Source organism: Homo sapiens, chromosome 9 (genome assembly GCF_000001405.40).
Source record: "Homo sapiens chromosome 9, GRCh38.p14 Primary Assembly".
In the NCBI taxonomy this organism is placed as follows: Eukaryota; Metazoa; Chordata; class Mammalia; order Primates; family Hominidae; genus Homo; species Homo sapiens.
The window spans coordinates 13,998,245-14,023,973 of record NC_000009.12 but is presented as its reverse complement, the minus strand read 5'-3'; the positions used below and the strand labels follow the sequence as shown (position 1 = coordinate 14,023,973).

The 25,729-nt window shown below is 40.5% G+C and overlaps 1 long non-coding RNA gene across 3 annotated transcripts in view; it reads left to right on the top strand.

Annotated features, from left to right (window-relative positions):
- The first annotated feature begins 3,881 nt into the window (after nucleotides 1–3,881).
- LOC101929507 (uncharacterized) overlaps nucleotides 3,882–25,729 on the top strand; it is a 203,870-nt gene continuing 182,022 nt past the window's right edge. For all 3 annotated transcript variants that reach the window (XR_001746621.2, XR_001746620.2, XR_001746622.1), the window contains exons 1-4: nucleotides 3,882–3,923; nucleotides 5,647–5,801; nucleotides 14,708–14,817; nucleotides 15,378–15,424. This is a non-coding gene — a long non-coding RNA (uncharacterized LOC101929507). The remainder of the gene's footprint in view (nucleotides 3,924–5,646; nucleotides 5,802–14,707; nucleotides 14,818–15,377; nucleotides 15,425–25,729) is intronic.

Below are 25,729 nucleotides of genomic sequence, written 5' to 3'. Positions count from 1 at the left end.
ATTATTTTTATATCCATTTTACAGATACAGACATTTCACTCAGAAGTTTTGTGCTATTTGCCTGGGAGCATACAGAATATGTGTCAAAGCTTGGTTATCTTTTTTCCCCACAAAAATGTATTCATTGAAATAGCCATGAAATAAATGTTCACTGGAGTGCATGTGTCAGGTAGTAGAGAAACAATGATGAGCCAAAATCTACCCAGGGCTTGCTTTCATGGTAGTCAGGTGAGTGGGAAAATATCTGCAAACCAAACAACCACCTAAATAAATGTGAAGCTGCAAATGTGAAAAGTGCTAGGACACAGAGATCCATCTATTAAGAGAGTATATAATAATAGGGTATTTGACCTGTTCAGGGAAGGAAGGAAACATTTCCTTATTGAAGTCATACTTGAGCTGGATATGTAGGCTGAGTAAGAGTTTATTAAGTGAAAGGCAAAAGGTCATATTCGGAGAGAGGCCCACAAGTGCAAAGGCCCTGTGGTAGGAAAAAGCATGGCAACTAAGGAAGACTGAAAGATTCCAGGGTGGCTGGAGTGTGTGTGCCTGGGTGTGATTGTGTGTGTGTGTGAGAGAGAGAGATAAGGTGTGAGGCTAGAAATATAAGGCTTTCTGGTTGTTTCTCCATTTATCTTAAAAACAGGCATGATGGCTCACAACTGTAATCTTAGCACTTTGGGAGGCCAAGGCAGGCAGATAACTTGACTTCAGGAGTTTGAGACCAGGCTGGGCAATATGGCAAAACCCTATCTCCACAAAAAATTTTTAAAAAATTAGCCAGGTGTGGTGGTGCACACGTGTAGTCCCAGCTACTTTGGAGGCTGAGGTGGGAGGATTGCATGAGCCTGGGAGGTTGAGGCTGGAGTGGGCCGTGATTGCACCACTGCACTCCAGCCTAGGCAACAAAGTAAGACTCTGTTTCTAAATAAATAAATAAATAATACAGTGAATCCATTCAAGAGATTGCAGTCTATGAATGACATGATGATTTTAATGCAGACAGCAGATGGAAGTGAGGCAAGAGTGGAAGAGGGTAAGCCAAGCAGGAGGCTATCGTAGCAGTCATGGTGATCAACAAAAATAGCTGGACTAGTAAATAAAGGAAGAGTGGTGGGAGTGTAATGAAGAAAAAGGGATGGATTGGAAAGTAGTTTAGGTTGTCCAATTGAAAGGAGTTTTTCATAGATTGGATATACAGATGAGGAAGAAAAGGTGACAGAGATGACACTAGAATTTTTGCCTGCAAAGCTTGCTGAAGTGTAGGACTATTCTTTATATAGGAAACTGTGAAAGGCAATCAGATTTGAGGTGGAAGTTTATAACAGATTTAGATGCATTGCAAGGTATATTTTAGACCTTGAAATGGGATGCTAATTTGGATATGCATGTCTGAAGTTTAAATGAGAGGTCTGTCCTGAAGATAGGAATTTATGACTCTATGTAGAGGTAGTTTTGAAAGTCATGAACATGCATGAGGTGGCTGGAGGAGAACTGATCCATGGGGGAGTGATGCTGAATCAGGAACTCCTGGAGGCATCGAGGACACAATGTTAATGATACTCAGTCCCTGGATTGAAAGTACTTGCCACTTAGTGGGCTGAACTTTGATTTATCAGATTCCAAAGCCCACAGTGTTTTAGTGACATCATCCTTTGAGAAAGCAAAGGCTAAACTGAGTAGGAGTCAATGCTGTAGTTCTTGACCTTTAATTTTTTTTTTTTTTCATTTTTAGCTTTGTGGTTTCCTGCCACTGTTTTGGCATGCTTGTTGTTGAGATTGAGAAATAGTAGTGTATATTATATTTGGCAATTATGCTTATAATCTGAAAGTGTTTGTGTAAGCTTAGGAGGTGTAAACTTTTTACTTCGCAAACAGGGAAACAGAGATCCAGGCAGGGCCAGGGGTGTTTTGGGTGAGATCACCAAAGGCCCAGAAATAAAGAGTAGAATCCATGACATCTCAACTCCAGAAGTACTTTCCGTGCCTCTGAAACATGATGCTTCACTTACTTAGGTTTTGATTTTTTTTTTTTTTCACAAGACTAGTTAGAAAAAGAAGTTGGTATTGCTGTCCCAGATGGACTCCTGATCTGTCCAGGTGCTCTAGATCCTGACCATCCTACTAATCATTAGTACCAGAAACATCAGGATCAATCATCACATTTGCAAACTAAAAACAGTGAAGGTGGAAATTGCAAATCACTTCCAATCCAATAGCATGCCGTCCATGGTAATAGAAATGAACCACGACAGGACTGGTTTACAGTAGTTGAGAAGACAAATTTTCAGAAGCAAATATTGGCCTAAAGAAACTTCCAGGAATTAGGGGTTCTCCAAAATAATTTGTATTCAAGGGTGATATGATTTTTAAAAGTTATTTGTTTGAACAAGGAGCATTTCCATTTGGAAAAAATATTCAAACAACACAGGAAGTACCCAGTGAAAAGAAGCCTCCATTACAGCACTGCTCCCCAGAGCCGGGTCTCCTTCCTCTGAGGCAACAACTGTTACTAGTATTTTTGCTTATTTATCTAGAGATACTCTATGTATATCTCCCTTTTATAAACAAATGGCAGCTTGTGATGCATGGTGCTTTTTGCCTTGTTTTTTCTGTAGGACATAATTCCATACCTGTATATACAGATCTGCCTTGCTCTCTTTGGTGGCTTCAGAATACTTCATTGCAAGTGTCCCCTAACTTTTTGAACCAGTCTTCTACCAATGGATATTTAGGTTGTTTCTAATCTTCAGCAATTAAAACAGTGATGAAAGGAATATCCTTTTATCATCTTTACATATGTAAGTATATCTATAGGAGAAATTTCTAGATGTGTGATTGATGGGTGAAAGGGCATATATGTATTCACAACTTTGATAGAGATTAGAAATATTCCTTTAAAGATGTTGAATTAATTTTTACTCCCATAAAACATATATGAGAGTGCTTGTTTCTCCCAACCACTTGTCAAATTATCATTTGGTCCTTTCCCTAAAATGGGAAATGCCTTTAATGATTTTTAAGCTATCTGTTTTGCCCCAACTTCTTGCTTGCTCAGGAATCAGAAGGTTTCTAGATTCTGCTCTTATGGCTACTCAGAGAGATTTAAGAATATCTTAGTTCTCTCTTTGGCAACTGACCTAACTTTTATGCAACAAAGAAGGGAGAAGAGAGTTAACATTCATTGGATGGTCTCAAATGTTTGGTATTCATTTAGCTAATACTTGTTGAACACCTACTCTGTGGGCTCTGTTTTAGGTTCTAGGCATTTATCAGAGAACAATGCGGACATAGACTCCTGACCTCTAGGACCTTACATTCTAGCAGGGGAATGAGACATTAAAAAATATGATAAACACTCAAATTAGAAGGTGGTAAATGTGGAAATACAAAAAAAGTAGAATAATATAATGGAGATTAGAAGAACAAGAGGCAAATAAATTTAGGGGATTAGGTAGGATGGCCAGGGTGATCCTCATTGAGAAGGTAATACTTGATTAAGGACTTGATGGTGTTGGGAAGTCAGCCAAGAGATAGCTGAGAGAAGAGCCTTCCATGCAGAGATTATAGGCAGAATGAAAGCTCGAAGGTGAGTGTGTGCTTGAGGCTTCCAGTGTGACTGGTGTGAGTGGGAGTGAGGGAGGGAGAGAGAGAAAGGGAGAAAAGGAGATAGAGATTTGATAAAGCCTTACAGGGCATTCATTCAGTGAGGCTGAAATGCAGCAGTACTGCAAGGTTTTGAGCACAATAAAGACAATGATCTGATACATGTTTCAAAAAGTAAAGACTTTTCTTTTTTGAGACAGAGTCTCACTCTGTTGTCTAGGCTGGAGTATAGTGGCATGATCTCAGCTCACTGCATCCTCTGCCTCTCGGGTTCAAGGAATTCTCCTGCCTCATCCTCCACGTAGCTGGGATTACAGGTGTGTGCAACCACGTCTGGCTACTTTTTGTATTTTTAGTAGAGATGGGGTTTTGGCATGTTGGCCAAGCTGGTCTCGAACTTCTGACCTTAGGTGATCCACCTGCCTCCGCCTCCCAAAGTGCTGGGGTTACAGGCGTGAGCCACCACTCCTGGCCTCACAAAGTATGACTTTGAATGCTGTGTTGAATAATAAATATGACAAGATTCCCTGAGGGGTTGCGCATAAGATGTCAGAGGAAAAGAGAAGTTAAGAACAACTCCAAATTTCTCAAAGAACTTAAAACAGAATTCCCATTTGACCCAGCAATCCCATTGCTGGGTATATATCCAAAGGAAAATAAATCATTCTGCCAAAAAGATGCATGTACACTTATATTCACTGAAGCACTGTTCACAATAGTAAAGACATAAAATCAACTTTGGTGTCCATTAACAGTGGATTGGATAAAGAAAATGTGGTATGTATACAGTGTGGGATACTATGCAACAATAAAAAAGAATGAGATCATGTCCCTTGCAGCAATATGGATGCAGCTGGAGGCCATTATCCTAAGTGAATTAACACAGGAACAGAAAACCAAATACTTCATCTTGTCACTTATAGGTGGGAGCTACACGTTGGCACACATGGAAACAAAGAGGGGAACAATAGATATTGGGGCCGACTTGAGGGTGGAGGGAGGGAGGAGGACAAAGGCTGAAAAACTACCTATTGGGTACTATGCTTACTATGTAGGTGAAAGAGTATTTATATCCCAAACCTCAGTGTCATGCAATCTACTCATGTAACAAACCTGCATATGCACCCTCTGAATCCAAAATAAAAGTTGAAATTATTTTTACATAAGAATGACTCCAAGATTTTTGTCATGAGTTACCATCAACTGATATGGTAAAGCTCACAGATATAGCACAATTTTGGGAGGAGGCTAGAAGTTCACTTTTAATCATATTGTATTGGAAACATCTATTAGATATCCAAGTGGAATGTCAAATAGGAAGATAGATAAATGAGCCTGGAGAGAGGGAGGGAGAGAGAGATCTGAAGAAGGAAGAAAAGCAAGAGAGTTACATATTATATCTCATTTAATTCTCATGGTAACAGGTGATGCTATCTTCAGTTTACAAATAGAGAAGCAAGCTCAGAGTGGCTTGCTCTGACTTATCTGCATTCAAAGCCCATCATCAGCCTCCAGAAGTTCATGGCATCAATTTTTCTGCCATACAGGTTCTATGTTCCAGGATTTGTTCAAGGTTCCTTGTCATAAAGAACTTGGGAGAATCCCTTGAACCCAGGAGGCAGAGGTTGCAGTTAGCCAAGACTGCACCATTGCACTCCAACCTGAGTGACAGAGTGAGACTCTGTCTCAAAAAAATAAAAAATAAAAAAAAAAATAACTTGAGACCTGCTGGTTACACGTGGGGATGCAATAGATGTAGGTGAGAACATGGACAGAGTGCGTGCTATGGATACAAAACCCCAAGGTCTGTGGACCACCCTGAGATGACAGTCCCTTGTGCAGAAGGCACTTTGTGCAGAAGGAGTAATCTGGGGTACCACAGTTTACCCTAGTGCAAGCCTATTTCATAGTACCTAGTTTTTTCTTCCAGCTGTGTTCTGTTGGCCTCACTAATGTCATAATAAAAGAAGCTCTCTGTTTATTTCTGATATCTCAAGATGCTTTATCAACAATGTGGTTACGTTGTTGGTCATCCCATAGATAAACTCAGATCCCTCTACTTTCCAAGTGTGAGAAGATTTTGTTCTACAGTCGCTTCTGTGAGATCACCACAGCCCTGGCAAACCAAGAGGGAGGAACCTTGTGCCTTTGAAGTGTGATTCACAGTGCTTGATAAAGTGCCAGTATTCTCTAAAGTAAGTCAATATCACATGCCTTGTATTCTTAATTTGGTGTTTGGGCTTCTTGTTTTGAATTTTTCACTTATTTCTCATAAATAAGGTTTTGAGAGTCTATTGAAAAAATTATGCAGTGGGTAAGGATTCAGGTTTTGAAGCCAAGTAGCTCCATCAGTTCTTACCTGTCTGACTTGGGGCAAGTTATTTAAATCTCAGTTTTCTTAAATGTTATTGTGTAGACAACAGTATGGTTTGTTTAACAGAGTCAAGAGGATTACTAAAAGAGATAATCAATGTAAATTCTTAGTACTACTCCTTGGACAGAGCAGTGATAAAAATAGTTATTGTAAGTAGCCTCAAGCTAGAATATATTAATAATAAGATATATAAACAGTTTATATAACAAAAGAGTTCTCAAAATATTGTATTTAAAATGAAAACCCTTATATTGTCTAGAACAGTAGCTTGTAAGTATTTTCAGCAACAGCCCTTTATTCAAATGAAATTTCAAACAATTTCAACTTATAAAATACATAAATAATATTAAAATGATTTAAAATATATTTTTAAAAAAACTAAATGTATACAAACTGTTTAAAAAGCCAGTTGATGAGAACCATGGACCTGTTTGGATGAACATGAATACGTCAAATGGGAGTTAGGTGACAGTGCTGGTCTCATACCCACGCCAGCATCCAGCTCATATCTACATTTTATTTTGGGTGCAACATATCAAGAAAATCCTGGTGCACACAGATAAGCAGTTGCTGATTGTGACTTAAAAAAAAAAAAACTTACCTTGCAATTCTTAAGATACACTTCAAATAAACTGACCTAGTAGCCTGAAGATGGGTAGTAGGAAAATTTTATTTTGAAATTGAATCACAAATAATTTGAGAGCAGATGAATTGCTCATATTCATTGTTGATAAAAAAGACCCAGACTTTCAATAGACACTAAAACATTTATGCATAGCCCATATGAGACTTTCCATATGATTAGGGTCTATAAAAAATCTTTGTTATTCTCTAACTAGACTTATTTTTATTTCAAGCCCCTTGTTAACCCAGGAGGCTTGAAATAAGTTTCAGGCAATTCAGGGTCTTCTCTCCTCTCCATGGGGTTGTGTCTATTTCTCCTGGGTGCTATGTTGTGTCCAGGCGAGGTGGGGCATCTGGTCCCCCATTATCAACCATTCATGCTGGTTCCCCTGAGATATGATGTCCTTATCTGGACAGTGGTTTCTTGTTCACCCACATCACTTCCTTCTAGTGGTGCCTGTACAACCTCTCTAGACTCAACTTCTTTCTATTTTCTCCCTCCCTTCTCTTCATGTCATCATGCCCTCTGTGGCACACGGGAAACAATCTGTTGAATTGACCACTTCAGCATCATGATAAATGTTTCCAAGACCACTCTGCTAGATTGCTTGTAGCTTACCTTCCAGCTCCTGCCCTTTCTGGTTGCTAGAGACAGGTGGGTCCTTCAACTCTCTGAGCCCAATTAGGAAATGAACAGCAAGTACCCTCTGCTTTTGAGGACACTAAACCCATCCTCTAGCTACATAACCAGGGTTTGGTACAGGGATTCTAGCCACCCAATCCGGTATGACAGTATGAAACTCACAACCTTACATCTGACATTCTTTTTTTTTTTTCTTTGTCTGTGGTTCCTTCCTTCTTTTTTTTTTTTTTTTTTTTTTTTTTTGAGACAGGGTCTCACTCTTGTCACCGAGGCTGAAGTGCAGTTGTATAATCACAGCTGGTTGCAGCCTCGACCTCCTGGGCCCCAGCAGTTCTCCCGCCTCAGCCTCGCAGGTAGCTGGGACCACAGGTGTAGGTACCATGCTTGCTTGCTTTTCTTTCTTTTCTTTCTTTCTTTCTTTCTTTCTTTCTTTCTTTCTTTCTTTCTTTCTTTCTTTCTTTCTTTCTTTCTTTCTTTCTTTCCTTCTCTCTCTCTCTCTCTCTCTCTCTCTCTCTCTCTCTCTTTCTTTCTTTCTTTTTTAGAAATGGGGTCTAACCGTATTTCTCAGGCCGATCTTGAAGTCCTGAGCTTAAGTTGTCTTCCCACCTTAGCTTCTCAAAGTGCAGGGATTACAGGTGTGATCCACCATGCCCGGCCTCATCTACAAATATTTACTCAATGCTCACATCTTGTGCTGGCAAGTACGATAGTAGAATTAGAGAAATCTACACCCCTATCTCATGGAGCTTAAATTCTAGTTGAGAAGACGGACAATGAACAAATGCATACTAAATATATAGTCCGTTAGTTAGTGGTATTGCGGAGAAAAAATAGTGCAGGGAATAGATTTAGAATCTCTTACCTCCTGAGTGTGAGGTGGGAGATTGCAATTTTAAATAGTGTGTTTTGGGTAGGCCTCACTGAGCAAAGACCCAAAACAGGTGACAGAAACCTCCTCTCTGGGGAAGAGCAGGCAGAAAATATCCCCAGTGCAAAATCCCCAAGGCAGCAGCATGCCTTGGGTGTCTGAGCAACAGCCGGGAGATCTGTGTGGCTGGGGTGGAGCTGGCTAAATGGACTAGCCCTGGAAGATGAATTCAGCAAGGCAAATGGGATAGGGGTGGGCCAGCTCTTGTAGGTCACAGAAGGGGCTTTAGCCTTCTCAGAAGACGACCCACTATTGGAAGATTTTGAGAGATACGATCTGAGAAGCAAGATCTGACTTAGGTTTAAAAGAATCATTTTGACTGCTGAGTTGAGAATGGACTATCATGGAAAAAGGTCAGATGAAGGAAGATTAATTAAGAAGCTATTGCAGCACTCCGAATGACAGATGATGGTGACCCGCATAGGGTGAAGGCAGTAGAGGTCATCAGAAGTGGTCATTTGATGCTAGATTTGGATCTGAGATGTGCGGGAAGAGATCAGTCAAGAAAGACTCTAAGACACTGGCAACATGATGTTTCCCTTAAGGAGTTGTAGAAGATTGCAGAAAAGACAAGTTCAGGAGGCAGGGGTGAGGAAGATCAAGACTTTGATTTTGGACATATTGTGGTTAAGATGGATTTGAAGTAGGCAGCTGGATACATAAGCCTGGAGTTTAGGATGGGTGTGTGTATGTGGTGGGGGGTGTATAAATTTGAATATGCTTTTAATTTTGAATTAATTTAATTTAAATTTAGATTTAATGAATGTCATTTAAATTTTGAGTTGATTTAGTTTTGAATGTTTTAGAATTGTCTTAAAAATAAGTCATAATTAAATACATTAATAATTATTAATTTATTTATAATTAAATATATAAATTAGATAAAATTAATTAGAATAAGCCTTAAAATACCTTAAGAAATCTATTTAAAAATGAATTTAAATCATATCTGTGAAATTCCTGAAGTATAGTTGTAGAACTTGCATGGGGCTCAGTTTTAAATGTTGGTGTGCTCTTGATGTAAAAAGTACTGTTTGGTAATACAATCATCACAATCAATTTTCTTTGGTATGTGATATGGCAAGAAGAAATGATAGGATTTACCAATCTATGCCCCAAAGGGACTTATCTAAGTAATATTTCTGTTCTCCACTGTTTGATCCATTTCTCAGAAAAGTAGCTAAATTTTTCTTACATTGTTGAATATGCAGATGTGAACCACCAATTGCTGAGGGGCACTCTTGAGGGAACATGTACAGTGGGACAGATCACTCACTCCCTTTCAGGGTCATATTGGTTCAGCCCAATGAAGAGATTTTGTGTTATGTGCAAGTTGTCATGATGTACTTTTTAAAAATAGTGTCACTGACACATATCCACTAAAATAAATTAACTTGTCTATCTTGACTGACTCACATTCTAGAAACAGCAACTTCACATGCCAGTGATGATATGAGCCATGGGGATGGGTAGGAGTGGGAACACACCAGCAAGAAGATGGCAGTGCCAGAGGCCTTTTAATAGTTTTTAGCAGAGCAGTGCAGAGGTTATGAGAATAAACCTGGACTTTTACAAGCCTGGGTTATAATTCAAGCTCTGTTGCTTTCTGGATGGGCAGACTTAATTTCTTCAAACTCAAGTATTCAGACAAAAAATACAATGGGGAAGAATTATAACTTTCTGTTGTAAAGAACTAATGAGTGAATGCTTGCAAAATACTTAGAGCAGCATGTTGCACATAGCCAGCTCTCAATAAATGATGGCTATTATTATTGGTAACTCTTTTAAAACTAAATGTTTGGTCTCTTGAAATATCTTAAGCAGGATGGTTTCAGATTGTCACCTGCTCTTAATTGGTGAGCAGGGCTGCCACCCCAGGCTCAGATTTAAGCTGGTACAGACAGCCCTAGTGAAAATGAGCCTCCACATCATTAAATCTATAGTTGAAACACTTCTACTGCACACTTGAACACTTGAACACACACATTTCATCTTTCTTGGCTATTTGGACTTATTAAGCATTTCTGTAATACTTGTTTTCTAAGTTGGCTGCTTCTCATTAGCGTTTCCTCACATCACCCCATGTGAAAGATGAATACAACAGTCCATATTTTACAGACTAGAAAATTGAGGTACAAGTCAGCCTAGTGTGGTTTGGCCAAAGGCACCAGAAAAATAAGCCCTGGAGCTCCAGAATGTCTCACTATTGAGTTATGGTTGACTTGATGAAGGAGAATGTTCTCCATAGAGATTCAGAGCATTCAAATAAAACACAAAAGTGATGTCCTCTTCTTTGCCTAAGAGCAAACATACTACCTATAGTCATAAGATGGCAGCCAGAGATACCACTGTAAGATCAAATCTGATCAAGTCGCTTTTCTATGTAAAACCTTGTTCTGGCTCTCTATGACCCCAGGATAAAGTCTATCTTCTTAATGTGGCATATATGGCCTTCCCTGTGCTCCTCTGCCTCCTGCTGCCAGCCTCATCCCTCACTACTTCTGTCCTCACTCCAGCCATGCTGAAGACTTTCAGGTCTCTTAATGTGCCTTTGCACATAAAATGTAGAAAAGAACCTGGCTCTATCTTATTTCCTCTCCTTTAGTTGTATGTCCCCGTTTTCCAAGAAGTCTCCCTAGATTTCTCAAGGCTGGATGAGTTGGCCCTTCTGTATACTCCTACAGTACATGAGATTTATACCACTGATCTCACTAAAACTGTATTTTAAATCAGACTATCCCATGAGCCTGTTATCTCCTTCAGGACAGTAATTATACCTGCTTCATTGTAGATCCCCAGCTCCTAGCGCAATGCCTGCAAACAGTAGAGATACAATAAATACTCTTTTGATTGTATGAATGAGCAATATGCCTTGTGATTTGACATTTTCCATTTCACAAAATGGATAAATACTTCGTGTCAGACACTTTGATAAGTACTAAAGTACAATACGCTATGGCTTGAAGATTTAACAGTGGAATTTCTGGCAACTGCCAGGAGGGAGGTGAGGTGAGCTATGAAGCCTATTAGTGTGGGTGTTTGCATTAAGATATATCTCAACCTGGTCTCTTGGTCTTTAATAGGTATTGTCCAAGTGACCATATATTATAGTTATCCAAACTGGTACAACTTTGACAGTGGAAGTGGGCAGTATTGATAATTGTATTTTGACAATACGCATAGACCAGGGCTATCCCAGCAAAGTGAGTGTGCGGTCACTCTAGGTATATGGATTGGCCTAATGTGCTGTTAGTCCTGAGCTAAATCCCTGGTTTAACTGATCTATCTAATGGACTCAAAGCTGCTGCTGGGTGAGAAATCTCACAGTTGTACTGACTGAAACAGCTAAGAGACATGTAGCAGTGACTTTGCAACATATGGCTTGACAATCCTCTTCCTGAGGTAGCTCTAAACATAGTGGTAGTTATATCTCAGTGACAGTAGCAGGTGAGAGTGGCCGTTAAGCAGTAGTTCTGTCACTCAGTAAAAGTTTTGACACCTGGATTTGAACATGAAGGATTCTAACTGGGGAGCTGAAAGATTTCCAGATCAGCCGAATTGCTCAAAGCTGCCAAGTTGGCCTGAGAACCTTCTTTTGTGAGTGAGATATGAATGATAGTTGAAACTGCTTCTTAGCTGGAAAATGCAATTTAAGCATATGTTTAAAAAAGCAATAATTAAAATATTACTATTTCAGAGCTCTTCGGTGCTCCTGAATCCATGGCTTTGCCAAATGCTTAGCTGTGCAGAGGGTGATTATCTTTCAAGGCCAGGATAGTAGCTCCCCAATCACTGCAGTGTAGCTCTCAGCCTTGGCATGAGCTTAGGAGGTGAAAGAGGAGGACTTACATATTAGCAATAAAGGTGAACATTTCTAACACCTAGAAAGTGTTGAAATTCTGGTTAGCATGCTTATCTTGTTTTGGCAAATGTCCTATATTAAATGGAAGGTGGCATATTCCCTTTATTAAATTTCTGTTTTCTTTTCTGATAGGATTTCTCCAAATTTATGTCCATTATTTATGCCTAGAAAAAATTAATAATTTGTAGCTAACACATTCATTGACATAATACAATCTTAGTTACTGTTGTAATGGTTTTGGATAGGAGTTAGAAATTCCTTTGTATTAACAAAAGTTTAGGAAATGTATTACTGTTTAAATATTCCACACAAATGAACATAGATGGAGATAGCAAAATAAAAAACAAAACAAAACAAGACTCTGTGAAGCTGGTTGAAAGCGTTCACACCCTGAGATGTCAGCTTGCCATCCCATCTTACCCTTTATTTAGTCTTAATGTTAGTGTCTATTTTTTTTAAGACTGAATTGACCCTAGGTGCGTTTATAAAATGACATTTTAAATTCCCTAATTCAAACTTCTAAGTCAGAGCTATAATGTTGCTTTAGGGGTGAGTTCCTCCAGGAGGAAAACAGCAACAAAACAAAATATTTAAAAAGGTCATGAGTCAATTGTGCCAGTTACGTGCCATGTCCCTTTTGGGAAAGAACAGTGCACTGTGTGCAGAAAAGAAAGTGACCCATTGCTTGGTATAAAGAACTGTAATTGATGGGATATCTATGAGTATAAAGTATTTGGAAAGCAAATTGTTGTTTATACTCTTTATGACTTTCCCTGGCCAAACAACAGTAGGTATTTCATGCCAAGAAGGACTGAGGGGTTTAGAACAGGAATTAGGAAGGAAAAGTCACCCTTCCAATGAAGGAAAAAAATGGCACTGGGTGGGATGTGGTGGCTCACACCTGTAACTCTTAACACTTTGAGAGGCCGAGATGGGTGGATCACTTGAGCCCAGGGATTCAGGAGCAGCCTGGGAAACATGGTGAAATCCTGTCTCTACAAAAAATACAAAAATCAGCCAGTCCTGGGGGCATGTACCTGTAGTCCCAGCTACTGGTTGGGTTGTGGGGGTGGTGTGTGTTGAGGCGGGAAAATGATTGCTTGAGCCTGGAAGGTTGAAGCTGCAGTGAGCCTTGATGGCACCAGTGCACTCCAGACTGGATGACAGAGGAAGGCCCTGAAGAAAGAAAGAACGAAAGAAAGAAAGAAAGAAAGAAAGAAAGAAAGAAAGAAAAGAAAGAAGGAAGGAAGGAAGGAAAGAGGGAAAGAAGGAAAGAAAGAAGGAAGGGAGGAAGGAAGGAAGGGAAGGAGGAAGGAAGGAAGGAAGGAAGGAAGGAAGGAAGAAAGAAAGAAAATGGTACTGGTTATGAATGTGTCCCTACTATTAAACTGCCTGGGCTCATATCACAGTTCCTCTTTCCACTAGTTGTGTGACTTTGGGAAAGGCACTTAACCTCTTAACTTCAATTTCCCATCTTTAAAATGGGAATAGTAAAAATAACTACCCCATATGGTTTTGGTGAGGACCGAATGAGATTATACACGAAAACATTCAGCAAAATATTTGGCAAATAGTAAAGTCAATAAATAACAATTATAATTGTGGAAAATCCCAGTCATTTGATGACATCACGACTACAATTTTTATTTCAGTCTGTGCTTGAGTATATGGTTAACACCCAGAATATTTGTACTTCAGTTTTATGGGTTCACTAAGAGCACTCAGGCCTTCAACACTGCATTATTCCTAGATCAAGGAGCTCCTGAAACAAGGTACATCCAGAGACCCCCACTTTCCCAATGTACCTCAGTGGGTCCTAGTCCTCTTTCCTAGCTTGGGCCCACCACAGCTTGCTCAGGAGAGCTGATGGGATTGCAGCACCAGACCGAAACAGGAGGCCATGAATGATTTTAGTTCTCAGGAATGCCTTTTAAATTGTGTATGTTCTCTGTTGCTATGTTGTTTTTTTAAAAGTAATTTTTTAATTTTCTGTATTTTTATTCTAAGGCAAAAATCAATAATGAGGCTAGGTCCAGTGTCACAAGATGTGGGTATTAAGTTTCCCTGAGAAACCATATATTTGGATGGTGAATTGGCACCAAGACCTCTCACCAGACTTTAAGAACATCTCGTTCTCTCTTTCAGTCTCATTCTTCTTTTCTCCTTCCAATAATTTTAACCACAAGAATACGCATCGTTTTCTACTTGTGTGTCTTCTCCTATTTTTCCTCTCCAGCCCTTCCAGTATCTTTGTAGCCAATTCCTTACATTATATTCCTTCTGTGTGAAATGCACTGTGATTTGCTGGGGGAAGAAGTAAGGAGATGTGAATGGCGATTTTGACTACTGTGACAACTTGCTGTTATCTTGGTCCTATTATTAATCTTTCCAAGTCCCATTTGTAAAAAGATGGGGAATAATAAACTCACCATAGCTGTTTCACAGGATTGTAATGAGGACAAAATAAAATATTAACTATGCAAGTACTTTTCAAATGTTATTATTTTCAAAGGTATCTATTTATTGTTAAATGGATTTCAATACACTTTCATCTGATACAAAAATTTAAAAATAAGATACATTAAAGTTCTATTTTTGTTTTGAAAATATGCCTGAACTGATCCAGTTCTCTTCTGTTAATAAAAATAGACTTTATTTTTTTTACAACAGTTTTAGGTTCACAGCAAATTGGATGGAAGTTACAGAAATTCTTCTATTTTTAATTTTAAACTAACATACGACAAAAGGATTTCCTGATTTATCCACCATTTCAAAAAAAGGTAATATTTTTCCTTTGCTGGTCTAAACGTTTATGGATTGTTCTTGATGCTGTTTGTTTTTAGTAAATGGAAAAGCAAATAGCTGGTCTAGAGGCTTCTTGCTCTCCCCTCTCAGCATTCTAGAATCCAGATCCGCTCTGTAAAATGTGCAAAATGTTGCTTGCATAGCCGTTGCTCTGGCCTATGCCTAAGCTCTACAAATTTTTTGATGACCATGAAAAAGTTTTACTTCACACATGTTGATGTTGATGAGGAGCTGGAATAGATATTGTTTAATAATTATGAATCTGTTTACTAGAAAATAAAAGTCAGATTGAAGGCTATTTGTCATTGGAACAAATCATTAGTAAGCGACTGGAGGTTTTTTTGAGCCAGGGACTGTACTATTTGCTTAAATTTGCTAACTCATTTAAATGTCATAGACACCCTGCGAAGTAGGTCATAAGAGCCCCATTTTATCGAGAAGGAAATCAAGGCTCAAAGAGATTAAGTAATTTCTGAACGCAGTGATACATCCTGGTTGAACAACTAGGATTTCTTCTCATTTTTTCTCTTAACAGGTCCGAAGAAAATGAAGGAGCCTCTTCCTGTACTCATGGTACATAAGGTATGTCAGTATTGTACACATAAATAGCATACATCTTCTGCCACGAGCCGAGAATTCCTTGGCAAATCCTCCTCATTGATAATAATTTTGATTATGTCCTTAGGTCTTGTGCTAAATATTTTTCACATCTTATCACATTTCAGCCTTGCAGTAATCCTAAAGGTAGGATCATAAGCCCCATTTTACAGGTGAGAAATGAGACAGTTTCTGCTTGCCCAAATTTATACACACATGTATCTCTTTGACTCCCTAGCCTGCGTCCTTCTCTATATATCATATAGGCGTCAACAATAGATGTTTTCCTCAAGGGAGTAGTCTCCTCAGAAATTGAAATCATTGGTGCCATAAGCAATACCGAAACGGGAAAGGTTCCCTTGTCCCGCTTGCAGGACGTGTGATGGGGTAGTGGTTGGCTTCTTCAGTGCCCTGCTGGTGAAACCTCTAGGGGAGCATACAGATGGGCAGGCTGTGGGGCTCCGATCCCAGGGCAGTGTCTAGGGATGAATGTTCACAGCTCCTCAAGCCCCAGTGGGCATGTGCTACCATGTGCTCTTTTAGTTTAGCTGTCTATAGGCGACTTGTGTTAACCAGCTCAATTAGACCCTCTACCTTGTCGCAAGGACAGAGGGCTCTCTTTATCCCAGAGTTCTTGCCTCGGTGTACTGGAAGAATTGGATCACACCTGGGTTTGGAGAATGAGTGCAAGGTTTTATTGAGTGGAGGTAGCTCTCAGCAGATGGGGGAAGGTGGAAGGGGATGGAGTGGGAAGGTTTTCCCCTGGAATCGGGCTGCTCAGTGGCCCGAGCTCTCTTCTGACTGCCCCGCCCAACTCTGCTTCATTCCCCGGGTGGATGGCTTGCCCGCGTGCCGGTGTCTGTCTGGGCGTTCCTCTTGACATTCAGCCACCCACGTGTTCCTCCACTGATGTGCTCCTCTATACGTCCAGCCACCTGTGTGTCTGCCGGCTAGGGTCTCCGAGCTTTCATAGGCCCAGGATGGGGGCGTGGCAGGCCAGGGTAGCCTTGGGAAATGCAAATAAAAATGCCTGTCTTCACCTAGGTCCGTGGGCACAGGGCCCAGGGCTCCCCCCCCCCCCCCCCCCCCCGTTGGAGCCCTAGCCAGGGACCACGCCCTCCTCTACCCGGGACTTCCCTGGCTTATCATTTAAAGGGACCACACCCTGCCCTTCCCAGCACTTCCCTTCCATATCCATACCTACCCACTGCAGCATCCTTTTATCTCTAACTTCACTGTGAGGTGGCTACTGTGGGACGTTGAAAACTTTTGGCTGGAGTGGCCATTTTGTCTTTTGGCCATGCTTGGGATCTTTTTCAAAGACTCAGAAAAGTATCCGTTCCTTCTAAAACATTGTCGTCTATTCCTGATTCATGCCAGAGAAACAGAATTTCCAAACAGACAAGTAAAAAAGTACATTGGAATGACTTCATGCCTGGGTTCCTGATTGTTCTCGCAGATGACATCCTACGACTGTCTCACCACACATTATTTTTTGACTCATTTTCTCTAACCTAAGTATCTCCGGCAACCAAATTTTAGTAACTTCCCCAAGGCAACCTGAGGTTTGGAAACCAAGGGGGCCGTTCCAAGTCTTTTGTGGACTGAGGCATGCAACCACAGAGCTAAGGTCAGACCCCATTAAGATGAGGGGAGGGGTCGAGAGAGAGGAGGAGTGGAGAGAGCTTCGTGCCTTTCCATTGTACTGGAATTTAACTGGAATGACTGAAGGCAATTTCTTTTTAAAATCCTTCCCCCCTGTCACCTCATTAACACCTCCAATGAAAGGCAGCTGTGAGACTGTTAACTCTTTGCTTGCACATTCTTGAAAGTGCTATTGGCTGGGATCTCTGGTCCTTGTGAGAAGATACCCTGCTGTCACCAATCTGGGCATCTGTAGCTTGAAATCAGGGTTTTTCCAAGATTCATATTTATACCCCAATAGTGTGCCATTCTATAGAGTGAGACGTGCATTTCTGCCAGGTTTCGCATATTTTGAGCTACTACTCCATAAGCTGCAGTATGTTGGGTTTTTTGGAACTTGGCTGCCTCAAATTCTTTTTGGAAATAAAATGAGAGCGTATGTGAACATTCATTAATGTATTCAGTCATTCATTTACCCACTCACACATTTAATAAATCACATTGGATGTGTGCCTGCTATATGCCAGGCAACATGTCAACCTGAGGGGTGTAAAGGAGGGCAAGAAGTTGTCCCTTCCCTCAAGGAGTTTACTATTTAAAGTGGGTTTCAATAATTATTCCAATATAATGTGATAAAATGATGATAAAAGTTACTGTGGGAGCAAAACAGGAGAGACAGTAAAGCAGAGTAGGCTAAGAGGGGTCAGGGAAGACAGAAAAGCAATATTTGAGCTGTTTTGAAGAGTAAGTAGGAGTTAGCTATATGGAGAAGAGCTGAGATGGGAAAGCTGCAGGTGCCAAGATAGGAGGGGATGATTTTGGCAATTGCTGTTGAGGATCATCTTTGTGTGAAGTGTAGTGAATACTGCTGAGATGGGTGCTCTAGTGTATGACCCACTCTGCCACTTGGAGATTGTAACACGCAACCTTCCAGCTGCTGGGAGTGATGATGGCTGTGAAATCTCCGCTTACCTTCTTTTGGAAATTGCCCTCAACCAAAGGGAGCTGCCTTGTCTAAGTTTACACACCTTCCCCTGGGACAGTATACATCCAAAATATAAAGGTACAAAGACCTCTTCCCCTTAATTTAAGGCAGAAAATTCTGAATATTCATCCCATTTCAAGAGATGTCAGTAAGGTCTTCTGAAGCCTCTGACACAACTGGACCATAGCTCAACTTCTCCTTCTGAGATTCTTGGTTACACCTTTGACTGTTGTTGTGCCCTGGCAGATGGTGCAAGAAGGGAACATAAGGCTCAGAGAGGCAGTCATGCTCAAATGGAAATACTCTGTAAGGCTGGGAAACCTGCTGGCTAATATCTTCATCAGGATGACCTGGTGGATACTCATTTTACTTAAGTGATCAGGAACACGTTGGTGAGACAGGTTCCAGCATGGCAGAGAAACTCAGCAGTGACTGATGGTAGGGGATGCTGTTAGAAAACTGAGTAGACTGATAACAATGAGAGTAATAGAATTCCAAGAAATAGAGGTCAGGTGGTGACCCTTGACTATCAGAGGCAAGGATATTTTTTATAATGAGGGGCAAGGTTGAAGTGTTAGCTTGGTTGGGAGCCAAGTTAATAGAATGGGAGTAACATTTCACAAGAAGAGTAAATATCTTTATTTCACATGTAAAAGCCTCCATAAAGCATCCATCAAGGAAGAAGCAAGAAATAACTAAATAGGCAGAAGGACTTTAGTGGTTGACATGATAAATCTTTTGTTTGAGTGCTCGTTTTCCCTGCGACTCCGAGCTCTTTTTTCCAAAACAGTGCTGGCATAATGGAGACAAAAACGGAATTGAGAGATGGTTAATAGACTACAGCGGCCCTGGGGGCAAAATAAATGGGGTGAGGGCCAACAAGAGCTTACTCAGTTTACACAATCAAAAGAAATCAAAGATGGATGATCAAAAGGCTGAACACAGCAGCCAAGCCCCTTGCCCAGTCTCTAGACCTCAGATGGTTTCTGAACCTGAAATCCTGAAAGAGATGCCAGATCTCCAACAGAAGCTGAAAGCAGAGGAAAAGATCAATTTTGGTTAATGTGTGAATCAGCTCAACATGTGGGTGCAAGTCAAAAATGGATCATAGCTGCATTACAGTCCCATTCAGGGATAACCTTTATGGAGATAGTAGTAAGAGGGGACTCTGTCAATGAGTGGAGATTCTAACAGCACACCTAGACAAGCACTTTGTATGAAAATAAAAGTGGTCCAATATAAAAATAGAGAAAAACTCATGGATAGTGGTGAATAGCTTCATCGGTTGATCAGGGGCCAAGAAGAAGAAATATTAGAAGATGTGGAACAAAATGATCTGGAGAAGAGGCATATGTAAAAACTTACAGGAGTGAGTAAAAAGAGTAAATGTCCTTATTTCACATGTGAAAGCCTCCATAAAGCATCCATCAAGGAAGAAGCAATAAATAACTAAATAGACAGAAGGATTTCAGCAGTTGACATTAGCTAGCTCTCTCTTCAGCCACTCAGTGCTGGCATAATGGAGTAGTTATGATGGCAAGGAAGAGGCTTTTCATGGATCCAATATCATGGACTCTTACTCACCAAGGCTGACCTAGCTACTTTTGTTGGCTAATCTCTAATGTGTCAGCAACCCCAATCAATGCTCAGCTGCTGACATAGTTCCTTCCCTTATGTAGATCAGTTACTGAGTGGTGGCAAGTTGATTACATTAGAACTCTTCCACCCCGGGAGAAGCAACTATTCATGTTGATTGGAATCATCACTTATTTTTGTATATTTGTGTATGAATTTGACTTATGCAAGGTCTTTGTCATCATTAGGGTATATGGTACACCAACAAAGAATCCTATATAATACCAAGGGCTTTTTTTTGGCAAAGGAAGTGTTGTAGTGGGCATATGGCCATGGAATCCATTGATCCTGCCACCAACCCCAGAAGTTGCCAACCTAATCAACTTATTGATTGGCTTAGTCGAAGTGGGCACCAATTTGGAGATGATACCTCATGAGAATGTGGCCCCATCCTATACGATGTGGTATCTACTCTACATCAATGATGATTTAATGTTTTGTTCACAATAGAAAGAATACATTGGTCCAGGAACAGAAGAGTAGAAGCGGAAGGGAATTCTCTTACTGTCACTCTTAGTGACCCACTTGGGAAATTTGCATTTTCTCCCTGCACAACTCTGTGATCAGTGTGTTTACAATTTCTGGTTTTCGAGAACCAGCACTTTCGCTGGAGGATATAACAAAAGTTCCATTATTAGGCAAGAATTGCCATCTGGTCACTTAGGCTTGATTATGCCAACAAACCAGTAGGCAAAAAAGGAGTCACCATTCTGCCGTGGATACTTGACCCTGATCATCAGGTGGAGGTAGGGCTGCTGTTACTTTAGGGGTGAAGAAAACTGTATGTTTTGCACCCACGTAATCCATGGAGCATTTCTTGGTACTCCCCTGCCAAGGGACAAGTACTACAGCAAAAGCCTATTTCTTGGTACTCCCCTGCCAAGGGACAAGTACTACAGCAAAAGCCTATTTCTTGGTACTCCCCTGCCAAGGGACAAGTACTACAGCAAAAGCCTAACGACAGCCTGGAGACCAGGGCTTGGATCTTTTAGGATTGAAGTTCTGAGTCATCCCACTATGGAAGCGATGGAGATCGACAGAGGTGTTTGCAGAGAGTGAGAGGAATTTGGAAAAGGTGATAGAGGAGGAAATGATGTGAACCAGTTTCAACCACTGACACCAGCAGCAGTGTGGGGGCTGAAGTTTGTGTTTCCTTGAGGAAAGAGGCCAACCAGAATCCACAATTTGCTGTTTCAAGAATGTATTATTATATGAATCAAGTGGATCTGAGGAGTTCAAGATGTAAACTGAAGTGGCTGTGGTGCTGTGGTGTGTCACCAAGATCCCCTTTTGGGCTGAGGAACTCATCCCTAACTACTGGATATATTGATGGCTCTAGGCTCTCAACTGAGCCCCTAGTTAGGTATTTCTCTTAGCCAAAGACAGCGTCCTCACTCATATTTCCTCTCCTCGCCAAGGCCATCTGTATATAATGACTGGTCACTACGGAGGTATGACTATCTGGCCTTCTTGCCTCAACAAATCTGAAGGGCCATTTCAAATCTAAAACTTCCTCTAGGGTCATCTGTGGCCTCTGTTACCACTTCAAGTGGTTTACATTCTCCCTCTGCCAAATCCTACTGTCCTTATCCATGATACTAAGGAGGGCACTCGCTACTAAACCACCTGCATGCATATGTATCAAAGTCTCAGAGACTGATTGCTAGGGAACCCCACCTATGACAAAAGGGTATGTGTGAGTTGGGGCAAAGCCTAAGCTAGTGTATCAAAGAGACCTAAGCATTAAACAGCTTTCATAAGAGAGAATGCCATTTCTCTCCGATGCAACAGTCCAGATGGTTTAGGCTCACAAGCAACTCTGCTCCATGAGGTCATTCAAGAACCCAGGCTCCTTTTTCCTCATTGATCCGCTTCTTCCTTGAGTGTTACCTCATTTGATTGATTGAAGTTTTCCCATTATGTTCCCACCTATGGGAAAAGGAAAAGATCATAGGAGGAGAAAATGTCCATTGCTCTAAAGCTCACCCTTTTGGCTCACATTGGGACAACTTAGTCCTAGATATAGAGGATATTAGAAAATACAGTCTCTAACTTATGCCCCTAGCCTCAACTCTGTTATTATAGAAGAAGGAGAACAGATTTTGATGGGCAACACTTCCAGCCAAGCAGAGGAGGCTAAGGTAGAAAGCAGGACTCACTTCATGTATAAACAATGCTAAGCTAGGATGTTGAAATATTCTTTTGAAAATTGTGGGGAGCCATTGAGTAGGGCAGGAATTAAATAGTGAATCATTTATACGACAGAATATTATTGTGAGGCCAGCCAAGCAACAATATGACTTTTTGTGTGGAAATGCTGTTTTGTCACAGTATCTTCCATAACAGATGTGATCTCTAGTTTGAAAATGGGCAATGTTTCTGATCCCTGTTTTCTCCTCACAAAGGGAAAAGATCTCAGGGAAAAAATGAATGCTGTTCCTTCCAAAAAAACTATGGGTGAGTTGTTCTCAACCTTTCCTTGAAAGAAGAATTATCAGAGTAGTCTCTGCCTTCCCACTCCCAAAAATGCAGGGACAGGGCCTCAGGATGAGACTTTGTGTGTTACAAAAAGTAGAACACCATCTGGTAATATTGACTGCAATAGTAATTGTGTTTTTTGCATTGTTGGAAGTTTCCATTTGACATTGGAATACATTCTTAAATAAATGTGGTTATGTTATACATCATTTTAATGGGCATTTTTTGTTATATTTTTCTTGCTAATTATTACTTGCTGTTTATTTTATGTTTATTTTAGACTATGGCAATGATATTAGACAGAAAGCAAATTTGAGAAATTTTCTTATTTGAGTTCAAAATGGGTAGTAAATCAGTGAAGACAACTGACAACATCAACAATGCATTTAGCCCAGGAGCTGCTAACGAATGTACAATGCAGTGGTGGTTCAAGAAGTTTTGTAAAGGAGGTTGGGCATGGTGTCTCACACCTGTAATCCCAGCATTTTGGGAGGCTGAGGTGGGTGGATCACTTGGGGCCAGGAGTTCAAGACCAGCCTGGCCAACATGGCAAAAACCCATCTTTAATAAAAATGCAAAAATTAGCTGGGCATGATTGTGTGCACCTGCAATCCCAGCTTCTTGGGAGTCTGAGGCAAGAGAATCATTTGAACCCAGGAGGCGGAGGTTGCAGTGAGCCAAGATCAGGCCACTGCAATCAGGCCTGGGTGACAGAGCAAGACTCTGTCTCAAAAACAAACAAACAAACAAAAGTTTTGCAAAGGAGACAAGAGCCTTGAAGATGAGTAGCATGGTGGCTGGCCATCCGAAGTTGACAACGACCATTTGAGAGCAATCATCGAAGCTGATCTTCTTTTTATTTTTTTTATTATTATTACACTTTAAGTTTTAGGGTACATGTGTACAACGTGCAGGTTTGTTACATATGTATACATGTGCCATGTTGGTGTGCTGCACCCATTAACTCGTCATTTAGCATTAGGCATATCACCTAATGCTATCCCTCCCCCCTCCACCCACCCCACAACAGTCCCCGGTGTGTGATGTTCCCTTTCCTGTGTCCATGTGTTCTCATTGTTTAATTCCCACCTATGAGTGAGAACAGGCGGTGTTTGGTTTTTTTGTCCTTGCAATAGTTTGCTGAGAATGATGCTTTCCAGCTTCATCCATGTCCCTACAAAGGACATGAACTCATCATTTTTTATGGCTGCATAGTATTCCATGGTGTATATGTGCCACATTTTCTTAATCCAGTCTATAATTGTTGGACATTTCGGTTGGTTCCAAGTCTTTGCTATTGTGAATAGTGCCGCAATAAGCATATGTGTGCATGTGTCTTTATGGCAGCATGATTTATAATCCTTTGGGTATATACCCAGTAATGGGATGGCTGGGTCAAATGGTATTTCTAGTTCTAGATCCCTGAGGAATCGCCACACCGACTTCCACAATGGTTGAACTAGTTTACAGTCCCACCAACAGTGTAAAAGTGTTCCTATTTCTCCACATCCTCTCCAGCACCTGTTGTTTCCTGACTTTTTAATGATTGCCATTCTAACTGGTGTGAGATGGTATCTCACTGTGGTTTTGATTTGCATTTCTCTGATGGCCAGTGATGATGAGCATTTTTTCATGTGTTTCTTGGCTGCATAAATGTCTTCTTTTGAGAAGTGTCTGTTCATATCCTTCGCCCACTTTTTGATAGGGTTGTTTGTTTTTTTCTTGTAAATTTGTTTGAGTTCATTGTAGATTCTGGATATTAGCCCTTTGTCAGACGAGTAGGTTGCGAAAATTTTCTCTCATTCTGTAGGTTGCCTGTTCACTCTGATGCTGGTTTCTTTTGCTGTGCAGAAGCTCTTTAGTTTAATTAGATCTCATTTGTCAATTTTGGCTTTTGTTGCCATTGCTTTTGGTGTTTTAGACATGAAGTCCTTGCCCATGCCTATGTCCTGAATGGTATTGCCTAGGTTTTCTTCTAGGGTTTTTATGGTTTTAGGTCTAACATTTAAGTCTTTAATCCATCTTGAATTAATTTTTGTATAAGGTGTAAGGAAGTGATCCAGTTTCAGCTTTCTACATATGGCTAGCCAGTTTTCCCAGCACCATTTGTTAAATAGGGAATCCTTTCCTCATTGCTTGTTTTTGTCAGGTTTGTCAAAGATCAGATAGTTGTAGATATGTGGCATTATTTCTGAGGGCTCTGGTCTGTTCCATTGGTCTGTATCTCTGTTTTGGTACCAGTACCATGCTGTTTTGTTTACTGTAGCCTTGTAGTATAGTTTGAAGTCAGGTAGCGTGATGCCTCCAGCTTTGTTCTTTTTGCTTAGGATCGACTTGGCAATGTGGGCTCTTTTTTGGTTCCATATGAACTTTAAAGTAGTTTTTTTTTCCAGTTCTGTGAAGAAAGTCATTGGGTCATTGGTAGCTTGATGGGGATGGCATTGAATCTGTAAATTACCTTGGGCAGTATGGCCATTTTCACGATATTGATTCTTCCTATCCATGAGCATGGAATATTCTTCCATTTGTTTGTATCCTCTTTTATTTCATATTTCATTGAGCAGTCATTTGTAGTTCTCCTTGAAGAGGTCCTTCACATCCCTTGTAAGTTGGATTCCTAGGTATTCTCTTTGAAGCAGTTGTGAATGGGAGTTCACTCATGATTTGGCTGTTTGTCTGTTATTGGTATATAAGAATGCTTGTGATTTTTGCACATTGATTTTGTATCCTGAGACTTTGCTGAAGTTGCTTATCAGCTTAAGGAGATTTTGGGCTGAGACAATGGGGTTTTCTAAATATACAATCATGTCATCTGCAAACAGGGACAATTTGACTTCCTCTTTTCCTAATTGAATACCTTTTATTTCTTTATCCTGCCTGATTGCCCTGGCCAGAACTTCCAACACTATGTTGAATAGGAGTGGTGAGAGAGGGCATCCCTGTCTTGTGCCAGTTTTCAAAGGGAATGCTTCCAGTTTTTGTTCATTCAGCATGATATTGGCTGTGGGTTTGTCATAGATAGCTCTTATTATTTTGATATATGTCCCATCAATAGCTAATTTATTGAGAGTTTTTAGCATGAAGGGTTGTTGAATTTTGTCAAAGGCCTTTTCTGCATCTATTGAGATAATCATGTGGTTTTTGTCTTTGGTTCTGTTTATATGCTGGATTACGTTTATTGATTTGCGTATGTTGAACCAGCCTTGCATCCCAGGGATGAAGCCCACTTGATCATGGTGGATAAGCTTTTTGATGTGTTGCTGGATTCGGTTTGCCAGTATTTTATTGAGGATTTTTACATCAATGTTCATCAAGGATATTGGTCTAAAATTCTCTTTTTTTGTTGTGTGTCTGCCAGGCTTTGGTATTAGGATGATGCTGGCCTCACAAAATGAGTTAAGGAGGATTCCCTCTTTTTCTATTGATTGGAATAGTTTCAGAAGGAATGGTACCAGCTCCTCCTTGTACCTCTGGTAGAATTCGGCTGTGAATCCATCTGGTCCTGGACTCTTTTTGGTTGGTAAGCTATTAATTATTGCCTCAATTTC